Below are 26925 nucleotides of genomic sequence, written 5' to 3' on the forward strand. Positions count from 1 at the left end.
GCTCAGGACTTTATACAAAGGAAATTTACACTGTACACCAAAAATGGTATTTACTAAATTACAAAGGCACTAGTATACGAATAAGATTAAAATAAAAACTAAGAACAGTATTTTTAGTTTCTCCTACCACTTTATATTCGCTAAATGACTGCCCTTACCTGATAGACACACACCAACTATCAAAAAAAGTAACCTTAATACTATCCTGGAAGCAAATGAACTTAAATTTTTTCAAGCCAATTCCCAAATGAGGGACCACTATAGAAAACACCTCCGAACCACTGTAATTCCTCTCTGAGGATGACTTCAAAAACTCTGCCAATCGATGCTTAAACATGAGCCAAAAGAAACAAAAACCAAAAAAACTCTGACAAATTCCCTTGAGCTTACCAACAGACCAAGACAGTCCAAAAAGTAATATTCCCAGGGGAAGAGGAAAAAAATGTCTTAGAGGATTGATGTCTTCCTTCAATGTCACATCAGAAACCCTGCAGTTTACCAGATGACCCAGTAAAGGAACCGACACCCCCGACCCATTCCACATGGGGAGTTCATTCCAGTCACTAATGAGAAGGTAAAAGGTCTGTCTTATGATATCACTTTTTTTTTATTTTTATTTTTTGAGATGGAGTTTCACTTTTTTTGCCCAGGCTGGAGTGCTGTGGTGCGATCTCAGCTCACTGCAACCTCTGCCTCCCGGGTTCAAGTGATTCTCCTGCCTCAGCCTCCCAAGTAGCTGGGATTACAGGAGTGCACTGCCACACCCAGCTAATTTTGTACTTTTAGTAGAGACAGGGTTTCACCATGTTGGCCAGGCTGGTTTCGAACTCCTGACCTCAGGTGATCCACCCACCTTGGCCTCCCAAAGTGCTGGGATTACAGGCATGAGCCACTACGCCCAGCCTGATTTCAGATTTTTTTTTAAATCTTACAAGTTAACATAAAATGGAAACCTGAGTATTACAAACAAACAAACAAAATAAGTTCAAAATCACCATCTACTGTCATCTACTTTAGGACCTAAGGATTAAGCAGAGGATAATTTTCATAAACCTAAAATCGTGATAAATCAGTTTTTTTGTGGTAGTTAAATCAAATTGTTATTTTAGCACTTGTTTGAGCCTCTATAAAAACACAAATTAAAATGCATAAGGCATGTCACACAGGCTTACCAGGGGGGAATGGAGGAGCCTGGTGGCCACCTCCTGGTGACCAGCCACCACGCACAAATAGCAAAGGAGATTCAGCTTGGCTCGGGAGGCCCCCATGCTCTTCTCAGTGGAGTCGATCTGCGAGCACACTTGTTGCAAAAAGTCATTCCAATCTTGATCTTTCAGAAATAATAACTTATCCACTGCGATGGAAAGAAAATAATAAAAGTACATATGATGAGAAAAAGAACTGCTGGAAACATTACATAAGAAATAAACACAGAATTACGACAGCTAAGATGAGGACAAACATTACACTGTCAAAACCAAAAATACTCCAAAGATGACACTATTTTTATTCGTCCTTCTATATTCCTAATCTCTTTATCTATCCACGGAAACTTTTTAACCACTTCAATGGAAAACTATACTTTCAAATAAAGCAGATGTCTAAAGCAGAACTGTCCCACAACCTACACTATAACAAAATGCAAAGTTCAATACAACTGGAGTAAAAGACAAAAGAGCCTTTGTATAAATAAATCAACTCTCAAATATTGAGAAAAGCACAAATCCTACAGTTCTTAAAAAGTTCCAATAAAATTATTGTAAAAAAAATAACGAGAATAACATGATAGCTAAAAATCACCTGAAATTCCTACCTCCAAATCCCTATACAAAAAAAAGGCAAAATCTAGGAAATGTGATACCCCCTAAAATTAACATATTTTTGGCTGATCTCTATCTTTAGACAAAATAAATTGTAAATATAATCTCCTAAATAACTCAAAGAAGAAAAGGGAAATAGTATTTCCAGGTGATAATTCTCTAGGTTTGCGTAAATAGTCCTACTTGGCACTGAAAGCACTATTAATAATACTTTGCTTCACTTGGCCTTTCAAAAACGTCCTTCTACACAGTTTCTTTTTTGTTTTTATCAGTAATTAAGTTGACCAATATAAACCCTTAGCTGGTTTATTTAAACCTAAATATATTTTAAATTTACTTCAAATCATAGATTCTACTCTAGCCACGATGAATAATTTTCCCCAAATCGAGTTTAACAGCTTAAAATATAATTTGTTAAACGAAAAAACCAATTTAAGGTATGTAAAAATTTCTGATGGTCACCCTAAATAAGACTTTCATTAGCTCAACAGAAATGTAATAATTATCCCTTAAGTATCTCCACTCCCACACCACCTCCACAGTCATGAACCACCTAGTCCCATTCTCAAATGTCCTGGTCCCTCTAATAGAATCCCAATCCTTCATTGTTGTCCCCAACCCTGTGCACCTATACCAGCCATAAATGGTGGAAATTCAACCAGCTCTAAGGGAAGGGAGGAGAAGACCTCCCACCCACTCTACAGGAAAACTTGCCCAGATCTACAGGAACCTCCCCACCCACAATAGGACTGGGCAGCCCAGACTCAGCTAAGAAATGTCAACAGCTGGCACAAATGAATTACAGATTGTTTACAATTCGTGTAACACTGCCCCAAGAATATAGCCAATTGTCAAGACAAAATAAATTTAGTTATTCACATATATTCTATTTGCAAATAAATTTCATATTTGTATCTGTATACAAAGAGTCTACATGTTCGATAAGTCCTTTATGATCCTACCTGAATATGTTGGTAGATGCAATATTTTTGCATCAAATTTAACTGGTGGCTGTTTCATTATCTGTGGTTTAAAAAAAAAGAAAGCTTTTGAGACAATTTTTAAGATGGATATCTGTCTCCTTATATGTCCCTTATGTCAGATAATAAATCAATGAGGACAAAAAAAGAATGTGCAAAATTTGTTACCAAAAAGAATAAGAACAATGACTTTTCGGATTAAAACACACAAATATAGATAATATTTTTTATAATCATTTCAATTGATATCTGTAATAAAATAAAGCTTCATAGAAAACATTCACTCCTATCTTGGCTTACTTTTTAGCTAATTTACCTCTAATTAGAAATTCAGTCATTCAACAAATATCTATTGGGTACCTGCCAAGGTAAGGCTCTATGCCAAGTGCTAATGGGGATACAAAGATATAAAAGACACAATCCTATTTTCAGAGAGCTGACATCCTAGTTGGGAAGATGAGACAAACATTCGATAAACAACAAAATATTTCACAATTCAAAACATGCAGGACATAACTACAGAGAAAACACTGGACAGAAAGAATTTTTTTGTAAATAGTAGTTTAGAGAATACAGCAAGCACTTTAGTTGATATAGTTAGGACTGGGTTTACAGAGAGGTAGAAGGTGGGTTGAGGTCTTGAAGGATGGTTAATGGTTATATCAGAGAAGACACCACTCCAGGAAGCCATAATAGCATGAATTGGAAAGTGCACAATTATTAATCAAGTATTATGCCACTCCAATTACCACATTCTACTGCCCTCCAAAAGGAGGAACAGATAGGGATTATCCTGCCTGACTAACACTATACCAATTTTAATTCCCAGGTTTTGCTAACTATACTACAGACCTATAAGATGTGAACATTAAGAGCAGCTGGGCAAAAGGTATACAGGAACTCTCAATTATTTTTGAAACTTTTCTCTAAGACTAAAAGTAGTTTAAAATTAAAAGTTAAACACAAAAATTTCTACTGATTAAGGCTTCCCAGAAACTATCAAATATGGTTATAAGAGGGAAAAAAAGAAACACAGAATATTGTCTAAAGCAAGCCTGTCCAACCCGTAGCCCATGGGCTGCATGCAGCCCAAGACGGCTTTGAAAGTGGCCCAACACAAATTTGTAAACCTTCTTAAAACATTGTAAGATTTTTTTTTGCAATTTTTTTTGTTTTTTAGTTCATCAGCTATCGTTAGTGTATTTTATGTGTGCCCCAAGACAATTCTTCTTCCAATGTGGCCCAGGGAAGCCAAAAGATTGGACACCCCTGGTAAAGATAACACAAATTGTTCTAGAAAGCCCACGTTGAAAATGCCCCAATGCTCATCAAACTTAGCATAATAAAGTTACTCTGCCAGACATATGAACTCACAAAAAGAAGTAGCTCCATTATGAAAAATAGCTAAATAATCTATATGAAATGCTGTCTATCTAGAAAATAAATAAGAATTCAAGAACCTTCATGGTCTAAACCACAGTAACGTTCCCAATGAGATAAGAAAAAAGAGTCATGAATTAATACAGAAAAAAACATTTATAAATAAGAAAAAGAAGCAGGAAAATTAAAATAGAGAAAAAGTAGTGGAATGTGAGTATGTTGGGGAGCTGGAAGTCAAGACAAAACAGAGGGACTTAGAAATGAATTTGTTTTTTAAAGTAGATACTCATTATCCCCTAGCAATAAAGTATTATATTCCAAAAGACAAGAAGCAAAAAAACTCACACTGGTTTAGAAGTACATTGTGAACTACAACTTCGCAAGCTCCCAGAATGTCTCCCCATCGTCTCCCCTGCAGTCTTAACAACCTGTGAGAGGGTAGGGCTTCTGTGTGATCTGCCTGCCCAGCCCAGCCTGGTAAGCAGTGCCCTCTGACTGCTTGTGCCTTCGAAATACATCAGAGACTAGAATATTTAGAGTGATTCACATTAGTGCATACGGAGAAACAAAAGGACTGAGAGCTAAGGTCTGAGGTCAAGAGGCTGGCAACCCCTCCATGGCATGTGGAAGAAGCAGTAGTGAGAGGCAGCAGAGCTGACTCATTCAAAACAGAGGGGAGAAAACTTAGAACTCCAGTGAAGTGGAAGTGAAGGCAGAGGAAAGGGCTGCAGACAGAGGGGGAGCTGCAAATGCAGACATGCAGCACAAATGACACAGAAGCAGACAAGAGAAACAGGAAAGATTATACAGTAAATAATATTCTGAATGAAAATCTCATGCAGATTTCAGATCTCAGTAAAGTCTACAACTCAGTTGTTAGAGTGTCTTTCTGCACCTTTGGATTGTCGATAATGGGGGTGACAACAAGATCTGAGTCCGTGTAGATAAGCTCTCTCATCTGGGATTCCAGGTCCTGCTGACTCAGGTGTCCACTTGTAATCTGAAATGAGAACAAAAATTAGACTTTGTTTCTGCGACTAATGTAGATCTTTAAAACACTGAACCAGTAAGATGCTGAGGAAGACACCACTGTAAAATATCACCTATATCAATGTACTTCAACTGCTATTCAAGATGGTTGCAGTCTCATTTGATTTTCACAAAAATCCTAAACTGTAGGCACCATCATTCCCATTTTACAGATAAAAATATAAAACTCTGAGAAAGTAACTGAATTGCTCATGTTACCACTAAGTCTGGCTAGGACTAGAAAAAATATCTTTACAATTCAATGTTCTAAACTGTGATGAGGCAAATTGGTTTTTCCATAACAGCATGGCTTCTTTTTTTTTTTTTTTTTTTTTTTTTGAGGCGGAGTCTCGCTCTGTCCCCCAGGCTGGAGTACAGTAGCGTGATCTCGGCTCACTACAAGCTCTGCCTCCCGGGTTCACGCCATTCTCCTGCCTCAGCCTCCCGAGTAGCTGGGACTACAGGCGCCTGCCACTGTGCCTGGCTAATTTTTTTGTATTTTTAGTAGAAACAGGGTTTCACCGTGTTAGCCAGGATGGTCTCAATCTCCTGACCTCATGATCCACCTGCCTCGGCCTCCCAAAGTGCTGGGATTACAGGCGTGAGCCACCACGCCCAGCCTTTTTTTTTTTTTTTTTTTGAGATAGAGTCTCACTCCATCACACAGGCTGGAATGCAGTGGCACAATCTCAGCTCACCGCAACCTCTGCCTCCCGAGTTGAAGCAATTCTCCTGCTTCAGCCTCCCAAGTCGTGGAATTACTGGTGTATGCCACCATGCACTGCTAATTTCTGCATTTTTAGTAGAATCGGGGTTTCACCATGTTGGCCAGGCTGGTCTCGAACTCCTGGTCTCAGGTGATCCACCCAACTTGGCCTCCCAAAGTGCTGGGATTATAGGCGTGAGCCACGCGCCTGACCAACGGCTTTATTTTTCATTCACAGAATGTTAATCAATTTATTTCTGCTTTACAGAACATTCAATGTGAAATTGAAGCTGTAACATAAAAAAAATTTTCAGACTTAAATACAGACATGCTACCTAAGTATTAAACCTCAATTATTTATTAAGCCTAGTTAGAGTTGATACATAATGAAATGAATCAGCAGATATTCACCATCAGTTATTCCTTTGAGATGGTTCTTTGTGCTCTATTTAAACATAATTTGTATTCCTAGTGCTATGCCTCAGTATTTCCCAACAGGGAAAAAAAAAAGAGAGAGAGAATTTATGCTTAAGAACTTTAAAAGAAACAACGGCTAGCAAACTAAATAAAATAGAAAAGTAAATCAGTGAAGTAAGGAATAAGGAAAATAAATTACCCAAAACTGAGTGAGGAAGGGGCATGGATAAAGGAACAGAGGAGTTAGCTAAGAAAGTTCCTGGAAACCCAAGCTGCCCCATGCAACTCAGACAAAAGACAAGAAAACACAAAAAGAGGCCGGGTGCAGTGGCTTAGGCCTGTAATCCCAGCACTTTGGTAGGCCGAGGTGGGCACATCACGAGGTCAGGAGTTCGAGACCAGCCTGACCAACATGGTGAAACACCATCTCTACTAAAAATACAAAAATTAGCCAGGCATGGTGGCAGGCGCCTGTAATCCCAGCTACTTAGGGGGCTGAGGCAGGAGAATCGCTTGAACCTGGGAGGCGGAGGTTGCAGTGAGCCGAGATTGCGCCATCGCACACCAGCCTAGGTGACAAAGCGAGACTCCACCAAAAAAAAAAAAGAAAAAAAAAAAAAAGGCCCACAAAGAATGAAGAGGAAGTTTGTTTAAAACAAGAAAATCTAAGTTTAAGAACATGGACTTTCAATTAAAGAAAAAAAAAGATGGACTTTCATGGTAAAAAGACAGAGGTAAACTCACATTGCCAAAAAAAAGATGGACTTTAAAGGCAAAAAGACAGGGGCAAACTTAACATTGCTGCTTGTTAATTATGTGCTCTTAGGGAAGATAAAAAAAGCTTTGTTTTCTTCATCTATAACAAAGATTAAAACAAACAAGCTTTCAGGTTTGTGAAGAATAAACACAAAGCACTTAAAACAATGCCTGGCACTGCTTGAGAGAAGACAGTGATAGTTAATGAAGACACTTAAATATATACATCATACTTGCTTCAGTGGAGAATGGATGGAGGGGAGCAATGGAGAACTGAGGGGACCAGTTAGCAGGTTACTGCAAAGCCTGGATGGAAAGGATGGTGTCTTGAGTGAGGAAGGGGGCAGAAGGAAAGAAAAGAAGTCAATGATAGAGCAAAGGGCTGGATATCCCTGCTGATTTAACACTGAGGAGGAACTGCTAGTAAATTATATTGGTCCGTAAAGTAAGACATCAATATTTGAAAGAGGTGGCCAAATTATCTTTACGTATAGATAATATAACTGAACATCCAAAAAGCCAAAATTAATCAATGGGAAAACTCTTAGAAATAACGTAAGAATTAGGCCAGGCATGGTGGCTCACACCTGCAATCCCAGCACTTTGGGAGGTCCAGGTGGGCGGATCACCTGTGGCCAGGAATTCGAGACCAGTCTGGCCAAAATGGTGAAACCCCATCTGTCCTAAAAATACAAAAATTAGCTGGGTGTGGTGGCGGGTGCCTGTGGTCCCAGCTACTCAAGAGGCTGAGGCAGGAGAATCACTTGAACCCGGGAGGCAGAGGCGCAATGAGCCAAGATCACACCGCTGCACTCCAGTCTGGGCAAACAGAGCGAGACTCTGTCTCAAAGAAAAAAAAAAAAAAATGTAAGATGAGTAAGGTGGACCAATTAAAAAATTGTATGCAAAAATTAATTTCCTACAGGTAAACTGAATGTATGCACGAATGCCATATAACAAATATCCCACTCACAACAGCAAAAATATATAAAATAAAATGTTCAGGAATAAACTAAATGATCAATAATTGCAATCAGATCATAATCATTAAATGAAAATAATTGTTATAAAATTATATTCCCTTGTTTCAAAATGAACACATATGTATAAAACCAGAAGCAGTAATATCAAAATGTATGAGACATATGAGGTTACAATGAACACAATCATGCCAATATCAAAATGTATGAGACGTATGAGGTTACAGTGAACTACAATTGTGCCACTGCACTCCAGCCTGGGCAAAAGGCTCTTAAAAAAAAAAAAAAAAAAAGTAATCAGTGTTTACCCGGGAATTATATCGTAAATAATTTTTCTATTTTCTTTGTCCTCTTTTACATTTTACAAGTTTTTTACAATTATATATGTTTTGTAATAGAATAAAAAGTATCATTTAAAAATTATAAAACATAAGGCCAAGCACAGTGGCTCACACCTGTAATCCCAGCTCTTTGGGAGGCCAAGGCCAGCAGATCACTTGAGTCCAGGAGTCTGAGACCAGCCTGGGCAACATGGGGAAACCTCTACTAAAAATACAAAAAATTAGCCAGGCATGGTGGCGCATACTTGTAGTCACAGTTACTCAGGAGGCTGAGATGAGAGAATCACCTAAGCCCAACAAGTTGAGGCTGCAATGAGCAACGATCATGCCCCTCCACTCCAGCCTAGGTCACAGGAGTGAGGCTCTGTCTCAAAAATAAATAAATAAATAAATAGATAGATAGATAGATATGTAAAATAAACTACCTTAGGTATTCACATTATTGATTATATTTTCTCAATAGAATGATTATATACTCTTCTTTATAACCATCTGCCAGAAGAGCTTCAACATCTATCGCATTTCAAAATGAATTTTTTAATTTACATTGATTTTCTATTTCACATAACCAAAAAATTAGCACAGTGAGATTTTATTATAACCCATTTATACTAAATTTCAAAGCAGAAATAAGCTTCACATGGTCCAAATACACTTCACATTACATCAAAACTACAGTAAAAACTAAAAGCAATTATATTTGTCAAGCAATAAGTAGCATAAAAATAACTTAGAATTAATTCAAAGTAGTTCTGCATTCAACACAACTATGATTGAAAGAAATTAAAGAAAACCTAAGTAAGTATAAATACATCCTGTGTTCGTGGAGGAACACTTAACATTGTTAAAATGGCAGTACTTCCTAAATTGATCTACACATTCAATGCAACTGTGATTAAAATCCCAGCTGGCTCCTTTGAAGAAACTGACAAGCTGATCTTAAAATTCATATGGAAATGCAAGTGACCCAGAACAGCCAAAACCACCTTAAAAATTTTTTTGGAGGATTCATACTTTCTGATTTCAAAGCTTACTAAACAGCTACAGTAATCAAGAGTGTGCCACTGGTATAAGGACAGATGAATAGATAACAGAACAGAATCCAGAAATAAACCTTCACATATACAGTCAATCGATCTTCAGCAAGGGTTCCAAGACAATTCAATGGGGAAAGAATAAGCTTTTCAACAGATAGCGCTGAGACAACTGGATGTTTCGATGCAAAACAATGAAGCTATACCCCCTACTTCATGCCACATGCAAAAATTAACTCAAATGGATAAAATAGCTAAATCTAAGAGATACTAATAAAACTATAAAACTCTTAGAAGAAAACATAGGCAGAAACTTTTGTGAGCTGGGAGTAGCAATGGTTTTTTTAGATATTACACCAAAAGCACAAGCAGCAAAAAACACAAACGAAAAAAGATAAATTGGACTATATCAAAATTTAAAACTTTTGTGCTTCAAAGGACACCATCAAGAAAGAAAAAAGACAATCCAGAAAAAGGGAGAAAATTGTTATAACTCCTATCTAGAATATGTAAAAAATTCTTACAACTAAATAATAAAGAGATAAATAACCCAATTAAAAATAGGTTAAATTTTTGAATAAATATTTCTCCAAAGAAAATAGACAAAATGGCCAATAAACACATAAAAAGATACTCAACATCATTAGCCATCAGGTAAATGCAAATCAACACCACTAAGACATAGAAATTCACACCTACTAGCTGGGCGCGGTGGCTCACGTCTGTAATCCAAACACTTTGGGAGGCGGAGACAGGTGGATCATTTGAGGTCAGGAGTTCCAGACTAGCCTGGCCAACATGGTGAAACCTGTCTCTACTAAAAATACAAAAATTAGCCAGGTGGGCCGGGCACGGTGGCTCACGCCTATAATCCTAGCACTTTGGGAGTCCGAGGCGGGCGGATCATGAGATCAGGAGATCGAGACCATCCTGGCTAACACGGTGAAACCCCGTCTGCACTAAAAACACAAAAAATTAGCTGGGCATGGTGGCAGGCGCCTGTAGTCCCAGCTACTCGGGAGGCTGAGGCGGGAGAATGGCGTGAACCCGGGAGGCGGAGCTTGCAGTGAGCCGAGATCCCGCCACTGCACTCCAGCCTGGGCGACAGAGCGAGACTCCGTCTCAAAAAAAAAAAAAAAAAAAAAGTTAAGGCCAGGTGCAGTGGCTCATACCTACAATCCCAGCACTCTGGGAGGCTGAGACAGGAGCATCGCTTGAGCTCAGGAGTTTGAGACCAGCTTACGCAAAATAGTGGGACCCTGTCTTTACAAACAATTTTTTGTAAACTTAGCCGGGTGTGGTGGCATATGCCTGTAGTTCCAGGTACTTGGCAGACTAAGGCAGGACGACCACTGGAGCCAAGGAGGTCCTGGCTGCAGTGAGCTATGATTGTACCACTGTACTCCAGCCTGGATGACAGAGTGAGACATTAACTCAAAAACAAAAAGTTAAACAAGGAGTTAACACATGACACAGCAATTCCACTCCCAAATATTCACCAGCTGATGACTGGAAAAAAAAAAAGATGTTGTATATACAACAAATTATTTGACAATAAAAAGGAATCTAGTACTGATACATGCTACAACTTGGATAAATCTTGAAAATATATGTTAAAAAGGCCGGGCACGGTGGCTCACGCCTGTAATCCCAGCACTATGGGAGGCCGAGGCGGGCAGATCATGAGGTCAAGAGATCAAGACCATCATGGTCAACATGGTGAAACCCCGTCTCTACTAAAAATACAAAAATTAGCTGGACATGGTGACGCACGACTGTAGTCCCAGCGACTTGGTAGGCTGAGGCAGGAGAATTGCTTGAATCCGGTAGGCGGAGGTTACAGTGAGCCAAGATCGCGCCACTGCACTCCAGCCTGGCGACTGAGCAAGACTGTCTCCAAAAAAAAAGAAAGAAAACAAACATAACATATACTAAGTGGAAAAAGCTAGTAACGAAAGACCACATATTGTATGATTCCATTTATAGAAAATGCACAGAACAAGTAAAATAATAAAGACAAAAAAGACAAACGTATACTAGTGGTTGCCTAGTACAAGCATGGAAAAGTACTGGAGAAACATGGGGTGGCGGGGGCAGTGACTGCTAATGGGTAGTTTCTTTGTTGGATGATGAAAGAATTCTAAAACTGTGGTGATAGTTGCACACCTCTGAATATGCTAAAGGTCCCTGAATTGTACCCTTTTATTTATTTTTTTTTTTAAAGAGGTGGGTCTCACTCTGTCACCCAGGCTGGAGTGCGGTGGTGCTGTCATTGCTCACTGCAGCCTCAAACTCCAGGGCTCAAGCAACCCTCCCACTTCAGCTTCCCATGTGGCTAGGGCTACAGGTGTGCACCACCAAACCCAGCTAATTTTTTTTTATTTTTTATGAGGACAGGGTCTCGCTATGTTGGCCAGGCTGGTCTCCAACTCCTGGCCTCAAGTGATCCTCCTGTCTCAGCCTCCCAAAGTGCAAGAATTACAATTCACATCCAGCCTGAATTGTTCACCTTAAATAGGTAAATTGTATGGTATGTCAACTGTACCTCAAGGAAAGTCCTACCAAAAAGAACCATGAAGCAACTAAATGGGATATCTCTCTCAGAGTACTTACAAGAAAAACCTATAATGATCAGCAAAGATGACCTTATTGTAAATTTTGTAATTATTAACATAATTCATTTACCAACTTACAATTATTCTTGTGAGCTTCTACATCTTATGTAGGAAGAAAATTTCCCAAGTCTGCTCACCTTGGTCAGAGGAGAAGTCTTCTGTGGTGAACAGTGAGTCATATCCTCACCAGGACTTACTTCCACTGCAGTGCTAGTTCTGGGAGTAGGACGAGAACTGAAAAATACAAACCAGTTAACATTATTCAATTCCAGACAGTTTATTCTCTGTTTACTGTTTTCTGGAAGAAAACAAGTCTCATGAAAAATGGTAGAGTATGATGATTCCATATACTGTCACTAAAAAAGTCTAGATCTAATTTATGTTTATATAATTTTTATAACTGCTATTAATTTCCTGGCTAATGTATTATTTCTTTTATTTATACAGTATTTTCCTTTTTAACTAGAAACCTTCAAGCATTAATTTTTATAAATGTCTTCTGGTATAGGCAGGATTAACATAAATAAAATAGATCAGATATTCTACAAAGAATGAAAAATATTTGTAGCTATATATCATTAAGTATTTGAAAAGGAAATTACCCTGGCACCTATTTAAAATAAGTAACAAGGGAGTTACAATCCATACCTATTTGTAATGATTCTTCCTACACATATAAATGCCTGCCATACCGTATGGGCCACTGTACTTTTCCTGGATCCATGGTTTTGAGCTTTTCACTTTTTTTTTCTTTTTGAGATGGAGTCTTGCTCTGTCACCCAGGCTAGAGTGCAGTGGCACGATCTCGGCTCACTGCAACCTCCACCTCCTGGGTTCAAGCAATTCTCGTGCCTTAGCCTCCCGAGTAGCTGGGATTACAAGTGCCCGCCACTGCACCAGGCTAATTTTTGTATTTTTAGTAGAGACAGGGTTTCACCATCTTGACCAGGCTGGTCTGGAACTCCCGACCTCATGATCCACCCGCCTCAGCCACCCAAAGTGCAGGGATTACAGGCATGAGCCACTGTGCCCGGCCTGAGCTTTTCACATTTTAAGAAATCCTTCCCATCAGATCATTAATATTTTTTAATTATTTCCTTCAGGGCCGAGTGCGGTGGCTTACTCCTGTAATCCCAGCACTTTGGGAGGCCGAGGTGGTCAGATCACTTGAGGTCAGGAGTTTGAGACCAGTCTGGCCAATATGGCAAAACCCCATCCCTACTAAAAATACAAAAATTAGCCAGGCATGGTAGCAGGCACCTGTAATCCCAGCTACTTGGGAGGCTGAGGCAGGAGGATCACTTGAACTCAGGAGGTGGAGATTGCAGTGAGCCAAGTTCAAGCCACTGCACTCCAGCCTGGGTGACAAAGCAACACTCCATCTCAAAAAAAAAAAAAAAAAAATTAGCCCAGCATGGTGGTGCATGCCTGTAGTCCCAGCTACTTGGGAGGCTGAGGCAGAAGAATAGCTTAAACAGTGTAGGTGAAGGTTGCAGTGAGCAAAGACCGCACCACTGCATTCCAGCCTGGGCAACAGAGCAAGACTCCATCTCAAGAAAAAAAAAATTATCATCTTCAAATTCCCAAGTATCAGGATCCTCAACTCTCATTCACTTATCTGTTGATCCCCTCATTAAACATATACTTACATAGCACATAAAATACAATATACCAGAAAATCTAGGAGGTTCTAAAAAGTTAAATTTAAAATGTATAAAATGGGGCAGGCACTGTGGCTCATGCCTGTAATTCTCAGCACTTTGAGAGGCCAAGACAGGCAGATCACCTGAGCTCAGGAGTTCGAGGCCAGCTGGGCAACTCGGAGAAACTCCATCTCTACTAAAAATACAAAAAAAAATTAGCCAAGCTTGGTGGCACAGGCCTGTAATCCCAACCACTTGGGAGGCTGAGACATGAGAATCGCTTGAACCAGGGAGGTGGAGGCTGCAGTAGGCCGAGATCATGCCACTGCACTCCAGCCTGGGCGACAGAGCAAGAGTCTGTCTCAAAAAATATATAAATAAATAAATAATAAATAAAATGTGTAAAATGTATATAGATAAACATACATTACATTTAAATATGGGTAAAACATATCAGGAATTTTATCATTATAACCACTATTTCATGAAATAAAACTATTTCTCTACGTTAAAAAATATTTTAAATACTTTAAATATTTACATACTACTAAATTTTTTTTTTTGAGACGGTGTTTCGCTCTTGTCCCCCAGGCTGGAGCGCGATGGCGCGATCTCAGCTCATTGCAACCTCCACCACCCGGGTTCAAGTGATCCTCCTGCCTCAGCCTCCTAAGTAGCTGGGATTACAGACACCCACCAGCACGTCCAGCTAATTTTTTTTTCTTAGCAGAGACGGGTTTTCGCCATGTTGTCCAGGCTTGTCTCAGTCTCCTGACCTCAGGTGATCCGCCTGCCTTGGCCTCCCAAAGTGCTGGGATTACAGGCGTGAGCTACTGAGCCCGGTCCATACTACAAAATTTTTTAATGCATTGGTCCTAATTACTTTAAGATACCACTCTGACTTTAATTCTTTCAGTGATTACAAACATTATTCAAGCCTCACATATAGAAAAGTATTAAAAGAAAGGCTGGGCACTGTGGCTCATGTGTGTAATCGCAGCACTCTGGGAGGCCTGGTGGATCACCTAAGGTCAGGAGTTCAAGACAAGCCTGGCCAACATGGCAAAATCCTGTCTCTACTAAAAATACAAAAATTAGCCAGGCGAGGTGGTGGGCCCCTGTAGTCCCAGCTACTCTCGGGAGGCTGAGGCAGGAGAATTGCCTGAACCTGGGAGGTGGAGGCTGCAGTGAGCCAAGATCGCACCACTGCACTCTAGCCTGGACAACAGAACAAGACTCCATCTCAAAAAAATAAAATAAAAATAAATGAAAGAATAAAAAAGTATTTAAAGAAAAACAGAACCTCTTCTTTTCTGTAAGTATTTATCCAAATAAAGAAGCTTTTGCCTTCAAAGCATTAACAACAACAACAAAAACTGGGTGCATTGGCAGGCAGATGGCTCAAACCCAGGAGTTTGAGACCAGCCTGAGCAACACGGCAAAACACCATCTCTACAAAAAAATTAGCCAGGCATGGTGGCACACACCTGTAGTCATAGCTACTTGAGAGGCTAAAGTGGCAAGATCACTTGAATCCAGGAGGCAGAGGTTACAATGAACCAAAATCACGCCACTGCACTCCAGCCTGGGCAATAGACGGAGATCTTGTCTCAAAAACAAAACAAACCAAACAAGCTGGACTTCTGAAATTTTAAGTTCAATTCTATTTTAAGTTAAAGAACAAAATGAAGAGGCATTAATTCTTACAAATGGAAATAATGAGTTGCTTTGGTAAAAAAATAAGTTGGTTTGGTTAAAAATTTTCAAAAATCCTGTACATAGCAAAATCTACATTTCACTGGCCACGACCTAACTGTAACTTTGAAATTGGAGAGTGAAACTGGCATTTGGCACTAAAATTCCTGTTCTTTATCTCTGTGTAACAAAGTTTGCACCAAGATAGCAGATGCTTTAAGAAAATTTAACTTTTGTCTTGCACTGATCCCTCTTTTTTCATTTTACCTACCTGAGAAGAAACATGGATTCATTCAATTGACCCTCAAGAGTACTCTTAGGCCGAAACTCAGTTGGATTTTCTGTAGCAGGAAAGTAATATGTTATCCAGAAAAGAACAAAAATATCATATGCAAGGCATAACGTACACAAAGATTTAAAGGGACATAACACTGAAATTAGGAACTCTCTCAAACAACATTCTAAGTAGCATGAATGTGCTCAAATAAAACTTACCTAGTCTGAAAGAGTGACCTAGTGGTTGACCACTCTTGTGCCCTTTTGCTTGTCTACTCTGAGAGTTCTGCAAAAGCTCCTTGGAATCTTGTGGCCCAGAACACTCCATAGTGTTTCTGCTATTATTGGAGAAAACCAACACAATCAAACTTACTTTGGAGTTCTCTATAGTTTTATGTTAGAGAAAAAGAGGTTGGAGAAGATAATTAAATTACACATGACATTTAGCAAAGTTACAGAATCTCTTAACTTTATGCCTCCCTCATCCACATAGCCATCAAAGACCGGCAGGAAAGCTACGTCACTGTAGTCCCTCAAGATCCAGGCTAAGGCCAGGCGTGGTGGTACACACCTGTAATCCCCGCACTTTGGGAGGCCGAGGCAGACGGATCACTTGAACTCAGGAGTTTGAGACCAGCCTGGGCAACATAGTGAGACCTTGTCTCTACTTTTTTGTTTTTAACAATTTTTTTTAATTTAAAAAAAAAAAAGATCCAGGCTGACAGACCAGGCATGGTGGCTCACGCCTATAATCCTAACACTTTGGGAGGCCACAGCGGGCAAATCGCTTGAGGCCAGGAGTTTGAAACCAGCCTGGGCAACATGGTGAAACCCTGTCTCTACTAAAAATACAATAAATAGCTGAGTGTAGTGGCACACACCTATAGTCTCAGCTACCCAGGAATCTGAGGTAGGAGGATCACCTGAGCCCAGGGAGGTCAAGGCTGCAATGCACCATGATTGTACCACTACACTCCTGCCTAGGTGACAGAGTGAGACGTTGTCTCAAAAAAAAAAAAAAAAAAAAATCCAGGTTGGAACTCCATTTTGACATTTTTCTTCCCAATTACCTCATCATGTAGTAAATTACCACTGCTCTTCAACTTTGCATCTGGGAATAACACACATTGCTTTTACTAACATTTTGTTACCAGAAACAAGTCACATGACCACACCTAACATAAAGAGGAGAAAAAAGATCCTACCATTTACTTGGGAGGTGGGAAGCCAGATGTATTTGGTAACAGAACTAATGACTATCATATTATATCAATGACTGAAGAATAACAACAGAAAATATGCAAAATCAAGAACATAAAAATATCATGAGTAAACTCCTCAAGCAACCCTTAATTAAACAAACGCTGGATTTTCTCCTACTACGAAAGCAGAGAAATTCCAGTCATTGATGTTGTATATTTAGAACAGTAATGGGCTTAAGTGTCCAGTAACTATGTCCCATACACAAAGGTAAGTGTATACTACCTGAGACTGAGATCTTCGACGCTTGATTCCTGATCTGCTCCAGCAAAAGCTTTCTTCCAAAATGAATGCTGCAGTAGCCTTGTCCAAGTCAATCTTTAAAAAACATAAATGTTAAAACTCTACTTTAACATGATTTACCATGAAAAATTCCCAAGACATGTCCCAATTACACATAGCAGATTTTACAAGGTACACATGTACCTTTGAAATCATTTTATATTTTATTATTTCATTTTTGTATGCTATTAACCTCTTTTAGACAGCAAGATAAAAAGAAACAATTCAGAAGCATTAAATGGTACAGAATGAAACAGTCTGATAACTAAGCATTAGAAGTTTCAGGGTTCAAATTCCATAGAGTCTGGTTTCTCCAACCAGCCTAGGAAAAACGGAGTCGATAAATAATTTGAAATTCTTTTTTTTTTTTTTTTTTTTTTGAGACGGAGGCTGGCTCTGTCACCCAGGCTGGAGTGCAGTGGCGCGATCTCGGCTCACTGCAAACTCTGCCTCCCGGGTTCACGCCATTCTCCTGCCTCAGCCTCCCGAGTGGCTGGGACTACAGGCGTCCGCCACCACGCCTGGATAATTTTTTGTATTTTTAGTAGAGACGGGATTTCACCGTGTTATCCAGGGTGGTCTCGATCTCCTCACCTCGTGATCCACCCGCCTCCGCCTCCCAAAGTGCTGGGATTACTGGCGTGAGCCACCGTGCTCAGCGTAATTTGAAATTCTAAAGTAAATATATCAGATATCTATAATCCTGTCATCCTTTATTTCACAACAGAGGCAAGATTATTTTACTTACCCTAACTGACACATTTAAGTTTTGGAACTATTCTGTTGGAAATTCATTCAGGAATAAATAAGAATATCAGCCCAGGTGTAGTGGCTCACACCTGTAATCCCAGCATTTTGGGAGGCCAAGGTGGGTAGATTGCTTGAGTCCATGATTTTGAGGCCAGCCTGGACAATGTGGCAAAACCCCATCTCTACAAAAAATACAAAAATTAGTTGGGTGTGGGGGCCCACACCTATAATCCCAGCTACTTGGGAGGCTGAGGTGGAAGAATCTCTTGAGCCTGGGAGGGAGAGGTTGCAGTGAGCCAAGATCACACCACTGCACTCCAGCCTGGGTGACAGAGTGAGACCCCGTCTCCGGGAGGGGGTGCGGCGGTGGGAGGAAAGAATATCAGCTTCATAACCATATACATTCACACCTTGTTTAGGAATCAAAATAATATTACCTAGCTAGTTCACTTGCATTAAAATGACTTTAGGTTGTATTTAAAACTCAGGCTCACTTTCAAAAGATTAAGTTTCACTACTAATAGAGTATACCTCTAGATATACTCACCAGAGTGGGAAAATTAAGCCTGACTGAAATTTTAAAACAAAAAAGAAAAGAATTTATAGTCGACTAATCATTCAAAATTTCTGTATTAAATAAAATTACTTCAATCAAAAGTAAAACACAAATAATAGAATTTGCAACCACATATAATATTCCTTTACACAAAGGTTCTTATGGTTCACTAAAGGAGAAATAAAAATAGCCAACAAAGTAAAATGTATTTTCATCCATCAAACTGACAAAAATGTAGATCAACAAGGCACACTGTAGATGAGAGTGGGAGGGAAGGAGCTTTCTAACATATTGTTGCTGGGAGTGTAAATCAGCACATGTTCCTAGAATGCAGGAAATGTATCAAACTTTTTAAATGCTCTTAGCCTTTGGCCAGCCATTTCATTTTGAGAAATTCACATCAAAGAGATAACTAACCAAGTAAACCCAAAAAAATTTTAAAAATTCACAAAAGGATATTTACTGTAACAACACATATAATATTCCAAATCAAGAGGCATTCTAAACGTTTACTTTTTTATAGGTAATTGTATATACGTTCTACAGCCATTTAAAATGACCAGGCAGCCAGGTACAGTGGCTCACACCTGAAATCCCAGCACTTTGGGAGGCCGAGGCAGGCGGAACTGCTTGAGGCCAGGAGCTCGAGACCAGCATAGCCAACATGGTGAAACCCCATCTCTACTAAAAACACAAAAATTAGCTGAGGATGGTGGCACGCGCCTGAAATCCCAGCTACTTGGGAGGCTGAGGCATGAGAAACACTTGAACCCAGGTTGCAGTGAGCCAAGATTGTGCCACTGCACTCCAGCCTGGGTGACAGAGCAAGACTCAGAAATGGAAATGGAAAAATATGCATAATGTACCATGAGAGAAAAAAGTAGGTTATGGAGTGGTCCCATGTAAGCAAAAAATTATATAGCATACAGTTATAAATGTAGGGATATGTGGATACACCGTCTTAAGTAAATTAGGTATAGTTACATCCTATCAAAAGATGTCTGAAAAATTATCCACCAAAATAACACTAATGTTGAAAGCATTCTAATATAAGTAAAGGATGTTTGTCCTACAGCTTATACAAAAATCAGCATTTCCTTCTGCAGTTTTTAAAATATATTTAATAAAAGAATGGATTCTTGTATATGCTACACTAAATTTATTCTCCATTTTATAAACGGAACCCTCCTCCCATCACCCCATCCCAGTTACCTAGTGACAGAACCAGAACTAGAAACTAGTTGTTTGGGCCTCTTTCCCACTCTGGTCTACCTCCTAGCCTCCCCTACCCTGTGCCTCAACAATGATTTCTAACATTGCCATCACTGACAGAAAATTCACAAGGTGCCTATTATCCTATCACTTAATAGCCCCATTATGACAGGAGTGTCATAAAACCTGTTTTTATGACACTCAGTTAACAGCATCTTAACTTGACAATATCATCCCTCGGTCAATAGTCAAACAGTTTTAGCCTGAAATACAAAATACAAGAAATGGTACCTCTTGGATTTGGGAGTTATAAGAAAATTTGTCAACTACTTAATACATGAAAAGAGAAACTGACTTCAAAAATTCCTCATGATTAAAAACACCTGCAAACTGAGAGAAAAACTTTTAATCCGAAGTCAGACTTCTTTAAAAAATAATAATTTGAATAGCTATTTGTATATTAAGAACAGCACCATTTTAGAAGTACATAAAAGGGGGAAAAGATTTCATTATTTATTCCCATTAAAATACTGCCCCTTACTCCATTTGCAGAACTCAAAAGAAAAAGAAAAAAAGATCGAACTACTGTCCCTACCTTTTCTGAGGATCTCTTTGAAGTAACCCATCAAGCAAATTAATAAAATCTGAAGAAGCTTTAGGACGAGAAGAATCTATAAATGAATTAATTTCCAAGAAAAAATGATAAGTAGTAAATACATATCAATTTTATTTTTATCTCTTACATCAACATTTAAAGCAATAGTATTTTAAACACATACATTATTATTAAGAGAACACTAAATCCATTAACAACAATTATATCCTCTATTTAATGGGGCAGGATGGGGAGGTACAGAACACAAAGATTAAAAACATTTTTTCCTAGATCACAAAAAAGAAATGTAAATCTCAAAAACTAAGTCTTAACAAACCTCTAAGCCTTCTCTTCACTGAACAATCCCAATAAGGATCACCAGCTTAACAAACTCAAACACTTGTCTTCAACTATTTTGGGGGAGTTTTTTGAGATAGAGTCTTGCTCTGTCACCCAGGGTGGAGTGCAGTGGCACCATCATGGTTCACTCCAGCCTCTACCTCCCAGGCTCAAGTGATCCTCTCACCCCAGCCTCCAGAGTAGGTGGGACTACAGGCATGCACTACCATGCCTGACTAATTTTTGTTTATTTTTTATAGAGATGGGGTCTCACTATGCTGCCTAAGTTAGTCTCCAACTCCTGGGCTCCAGTGATCCACCTGCCTTGGATCTCCTAAAGTGCTGCAATTACAATTACAAGTGTGAGCCACTATGCTCAGCTCCAACTATTTTTTTTTTTTTTTTTTTGGAGAATGAGTTTCACTCTTCTTGCCCAGGCTGGAGTGCAATGGAGCGATCTCAGTTCACTGCAACCTCTGCCTCCCAGGTATATGCGATTCTCCTGTCTCAGCCTCCCAAGTAGCTCGGATTACAGGCATGTGCCACCATGCCTGGCTAATTTTTTTGTATTTAGTAGAGACAGGGTTTCACCATGATAGTCAGGCTGGTCGTGAACTCTTGACCTCAGGTGATCCACCCACCTCAGCCTCCCAAAGTGCTAGGATTACAGGTGTGTGCCACCATGCCCGGCCCCAGCTTAACTATTAATTATACCTTATTCTTTTAAGTATTCCTAACTTGAACAACTAAGAATATTTGCAATCCCTCTTTTAAGATTTTTAACAGAAATAAGAAGCATTATAATATGACACTGTCCAATACCACTAATCTCATAATGTTTTGTCTTTTTAAATTAGTTATATACCATATCCAGGTCATCAGTCTATGGTTAAAAGTAGTAGTAATGGCCACACATTGTGGCTCATACTTGAAATCCCAGCACTTTGAGAGGCCAAGGCAGGCGGATCACTCGAGGCCAGGAGTTCAAGACAAGCTAGGCTACATACCAAGACCTTGTCTCCACCAAAAAATTAAAAAATTAGCCATTCCCAGTGGTGTGCCCCTATAGTCCCGGCTACTTGGGAGGTTGACTGCACCACTGCACTCCAGCCTGAGTGACACAGCAGCACAGCAGAACCCTGTCTCTCAAATATATATATATGTATATATAGCAATAATTTTTGTAGAATCCTGTTTTCATTTATGTGTCTTAAGATAAACTTTAACAATGTATAGCAAAATGTTTTACTACACTTGTGCCTTCTTTTGTTTTCCTTTCCTTAAAAATTATTGCTGATAGATCATTATATTAACCACAATTTATATGATTAAAGTTCCAACACTTTAAAAATAATACAACTGTATCTAATTTTAAAGATTTTTAGGCCGGGCGCAGTGGCTCACGCCTGTAATCCCAGCACTTTGGGAGGCTGAGGTGGGTGGATCATGACATCAGGAGTTTGAGACCAGCCTGGCCAAGATGGTGAAACCCCGTCTCTAATAAAAAACAAAAAACAAAAAATTAGCCGGGTGCCGTGGTGGGCACCTGTAGTCCCAGCTACTCGGGAGGCTGAGGCAGGAGAACTGCTTGAACCCGGGAGGCGGAGGTTGCAGTGAGCCGAGAACACGCCACTGCACTCCAGCCTGGGCAACAGAGCAAGACTCTGTCTCAAAAATAAATAAATAAATAAATAAATAAATAAATAAATAAATAAATAAAGATTTTTAAAACTTATAAGGGTAGCATTCTGATTCATCAAGATAAGGAAATGGTGAATTTGTTCCAACAGGAGATAGAAATAACCACATGGGATACGACTACAAAGTAAGTAAATGGTACATACAAAAAGCAATGTCACATAAGGGTTTAAGTTTTTTAAGTCTTTAAGCCATACTTTTTATGATATAGATGCACAAAATAGTTTTTAAATGAGGGAAATCTATTAGTACTTTGTTTTCTGTTTCAGCATCTTTAAAAAATGGCAAAAGAAATACTAACATTTCTAAAAATATCAACTTGGGATCATTTATAAAAGATAACTTTGGGGAGTTATGAATCAATAAAAGCAAACGTTGGATAAAGGTACACCTTTAATCAGTGTAAAATGTAAATTAATTCCATTTATCATAAGAAATCTTACCTTTCGGAATAGGTGGCAAAGGATCTTCACATAAGATCTTTTCAGTTAATTCTGAAATACTTTCTGAGAAGAATGGAGGTTTTCCTGAAATCACATGAAAACTTGCAAAATGAAAGAAGTCTGCTATCACCAATAATTCTTTTTTTTTTTTTTTTTTTTTTTTGAGATGGAGTCTTGCTCTGTCACCCAGGCTGGAGTGCAGTGGCGCAATCTCGGCTCACTGCACACTCCGCCTCCTGGGTTCAGGCCACTCTCCTGCTTCAGCCTCCCCAGCAGCTGGGACCACAGGCGCACGCTGCCACGCCCAGCTAATTTTTTGTATTTTTAGTAGAGATGGGGTTTCACCGTGTTAGCCAGGATGGTCTCAATCTCCTGACCTCGTGATCCGCCCGCCTCGATCTCCCAAAGTGCTGGGATTACAGGCGTGAGCCACCACACCTGGCCTTGCTATCACCAATAATTCTAATCTCAACTACAGATATTTCAAGATTATACAACTTATAGAAAAAATATATAGCAATAGCTATTTAATGCCTAGTATGTACGAGGCACTGCCTATATATTTCTCTTACTTCAAAATGTATTATCATCCTAACAAATACACAAACACACATATGGACCACTACTATGAACCAATGGGTGCATGGGCCATTCAAATCATCTGAATAATACACAATTGCAAGGCATCTTTACAAAAATTTCTAATAATCACAATTTTTGAGTTAGGCACATTTCAGCATTCCAGATTATCATGAAAAATTACCTATTTATCAAGAACTTTCTAGGAATCTGCATATGCCTAGATACCAAGCAACTCAGCCAAAATCAGTATACATAAAAATTTATAAGGTCACAGTTTTTTTGGCCAGGCACAGTGGCTCATGCCTATAATCCCAGAGCTTTGGGAGGCCTAAGCAGGCAGATCACTTGAGGTCAGGCATTCAAGACCAGCCTGGCCAACATGGTGAGACCCGCTCTCTACTAAAAATAGAAAAAACTGCCAGGCATGGTGGTGGGCACCTGTAAGCCCAGCTACTCGGGAAGCTGAGACACAGGAATGGCTTGAACCCAGGAGGCAGAGGTTGTAGTGAGCCGAGATCGTGCCACTGCACTCCAGACTGGGTGACAGTACGAGACTCTGTCTCAAAATAAAAAAAAATCTAGTTTTTTCACATCTTATAGGTAAAACATCTGCAAAGTACAGACTTAACCTGGTTTTTAGTCCAGCTCTGATTTTATACCTATTCAGGAAACAATTACCTGAAAACATTTCATAAAGCAGACAGCCCAAAGACCAGAGGTCACTGGAGATGGAAAAGTCAGCACCCCTCACAACTTCTGGTGCTGTATATACAGGAGATCCTAAAAGCAAAGTATGAAGAACAGCTCGGTTAGGCATTTGTATTGCTGCCAACACGAACCCACCTAGGAAAGATCTGATGAGATGAAAAAGGGCAGGAGAAAAACATGCGCATGAATAAAACTTCATGTGCATTTCACATTTTTAAATGTTTTCTAATTTTAAGGTTACATTTTGCAAAGGATGTGTGTGAATATAAAAAAGTGTTTAAAATCTACCTGAGAGGTATGGCACATTCAGCTACATTCTTCTTTTAAATTTCAATTAGAATAGTTTAAGTTAAACCTTCAATATAACAACCCCAACATCCCACTGGCTTAACAGCAAAGGTTTATCTATCACTAAACATGTCCACAACAAATCTACCAAGAAGCTCTGATCCTCATAGTCACTCAAAGACCCAGGCTGATAGAGGCTCCAACTCCACTCATGCTTCCTCACTTGGAGGCAGGGAGAAAGAATGTAGCTAACTGAACACTGGCTCCTAAAATTCCCATCTCAAAGTTACTCACATCACTTCCGCTCACACTTAGTTGGCTTTGACCAGGGAGAGGATGCAATCCTACCATCTATCCAGGAGAATAGGAAATATTTAGTGAAAAGCCCCATTGTGTGCCCCATATACTTTATACAAAGTTTAATATTACACAGAAATCCCATATTTTAGAGCCAGAAAGTTCCCTTATTCACTGACAAGAGAAATGGAAGCTTTAGAGGGATACTTAACCTCCAGTAAATCACACAGCTAGGCAGTTGCAGAGCACCTGCCAAGACCCAGGGTCCTTGTCTCTCCCTGGTGCACACTCTCTGCATTCCATCTAACTCCCGCCTCCCAATGAGAATCTTTTCTCCAGGAAGAAAGTAATCTCCAATGATTTGGAAACAAAATTCCACTGAGGTAAGCCTTCCAGCAAATCCTATCTCCAGAGCCCATTACAGCGAGATCAGCAGCTTTGTGTGCCCTGATGCGTGACTGTAAAGTTCTCCCATGGAGCATTTTTGCTATGCTATCACATTTTGTACACATCGATGGAAGGTATATTTGCCTGCACCAGCTGCTGAGGAAACAAAGACAAATAACGCCCATGGAACACCCTTGCACTCTGTCCAACACTTAATAGATGTTTCATTAATATTTGTTGAATATGAATGTTTGTCTTCCCATCCTTACTTCCAGTACCTAGAACTTGCCTAAACTAGTCAAATTAAGAAATAAATGTGGACCAGGCTCACACTTGTAATCCCAGCACTTTGAGAGTCTGAGGCAGGCAGATCACTGGAGGCCAGGAATTCAAGACCAGCCTGGCCAACCTGGTGAAACCCCATCTCTACCAAAAATACAAAAATTAGCTGGGCATGGTGGAGGGCACCTGTAATCCCGGCTACACAGGAGGCTGAGGCATGAGAATCACTTGAACCTAGTAGGCGAAGGCTGCAGTGAACCAAGATCACGCCACTGCTCTCCAGCCTGTGTAACAAAGCAAGACTCTGTCTCAAAAAATAAATAAACGAGGGCCGGGCACGGTGGCTCACACCTGTAATCCCAGCATTTTGGGAGGCCGAGGCGAGCAGATCACAAGGTCAGGAGATCGAGACCAGCCTGGCTAACATGGTAAAACCCCGTCTCTCATAAAAAAAAATACAAAAAATTAGCCAGGCATGGTGGCAGGCGCCTGTAGTCCCAGCTACTCAGGAGGCTGAGGCAGGAGAATGGCATGAACCCAGGAGGCGGAGTTTGCAGTGAGCCGAGATGGCACCACTGCACTCCAGCCTGGACAACAGAGCGAGACTCCGTCTCTAAATAAATAAATAAATAAATGTGGAATTAACAAATAAATGCACTAATAAACAATGGAATTAAAGTCTCTGGGTTCACACTCAAATGGGTGGAAAACAAATACACAAAACAGTATATTATTACATGGTAAGTTAAATGGTTTATGCAAAAAATATTATGAAAGTTTTAAAAGAAAACAACACTTCAGTATTCAGTCTGATAAAATCCTGCTATCCAGACAAAGAAGTAAGGAAGTCTTTCTCAACAAAGTTGGAGCCGGCCAGATGCGGTGGCTAACACCTGTAATCCCACCATTCTGGGAGGCCGAGGCAGGCGGATCACCTGAGGTCAGGAGTTCGAGACCAGCCTGACCAACATGGACAAACCCCATCTCTACTAAAAACAGAAAATCAGCTAGGCATGGTAGTGCATGCCTGTAATCCCAGCTACTCCGGAGGCTGAGGCAGGAGAATGGCATGAACCCAGGAGGCGGAGCTTGCAGTGAGCCAAGATCACACCACTGCACTCCAGCCTAGGCAACAGAGCAAGACTCCATCGCAAATAAAATAGTTAAAAATAAAATAAGAAAGCTGAAAAAATAAAATAAGAAAGGGTTAGGTGTGGTGGCACAAGCCTGTACTCCTAGCTACTTGGAGGGCCAAGACAGGAGGATCACTTGAGGCCTGGAGTTCGACACCAGCCTGGACAGCACAGCAAAACCCAGTTTACAAAAAAATTTAAAACTTTGCCAGGCATGGTGGTATACATCTGCAGTCCTAGCTACTCAGGAGACTGAGGTGGGGGAATCGCTTCAGTCCAGGAGCTCAAGGTTACAGTGAGATATGATCATGCCACTGCAAGACGAAGGAAAGGGAAGGGAGGGGAGAGTATGGAAGGAAAGAGAAAGAAACAAGAACCGAAAGAGTAAGGGCATGGGTGTGAGCAGCTACACAACAAGTGCAGGAAATCGTGAAGACAGGG

At 39.9% G+C, this 26925-nt stretch overlaps 1 protein-coding gene and 1 pseudogene across 4 annotated transcripts in view; both read right to left on the reverse strand.

Moving 5' to 3' along the window:
• ULK4 (unc-51 like kinase 4) overlaps positions 1–26925 on the reverse strand; it is a 715505-nt gene that overhangs the window by 649051 nt on the left and 39529 nt on the right. For 2 of the 4 annotated variants that reach the window (NM_017886.4, NM_001322500.2), the window contains exons 6-15: positions 24068–24169; positions 22808–22891; positions 20328–20403; positions 17158–17250; positions 15892–16010; positions 15668–15737; positions 12196–12292; positions 5076–5180; positions 2783–2843; positions 1173–1354 (exon numbers count right to left, since the gene is read on the reverse strand). In NM_017886.4, coding sequence (NP_060356.2) covers positions 1173–1354; positions 2783–2843; positions 5076–5180; positions 12196–12292; positions 15668–15737; positions 15892–16010; positions 17158–17250; positions 20328–20403; positions 22808–22891; positions 24068–24169 — 989 coding nt within the window. The remainder of the gene's footprint in view (positions 1–1172; positions 1355–2782; positions 2844–5075; positions 5181–12195; positions 12293–15667; positions 15738–15891; positions 16011–17157; positions 17251–20327; positions 20404–22807; positions 22892–24067; positions 24170–26925) is intronic. The other 2 variants (NR_136342.2, NM_001322501.2) reach the window with 2 other exon arrangements.
• On the reverse strand, positions 3462–3604 carry LOC124900553 (uncharacterized; annotated as a pseudogene).

The sequence above is a fragment of the Homo sapiens genome, chromosome 3 (assembly GCF_000001405.40).
Source record: "Homo sapiens chromosome 3, GRCh38.p14 Primary Assembly".
Classification (NCBI taxonomy): Eukaryota; Metazoa; Chordata; class Mammalia; order Primates; family Hominidae; genus Homo; species Homo sapiens.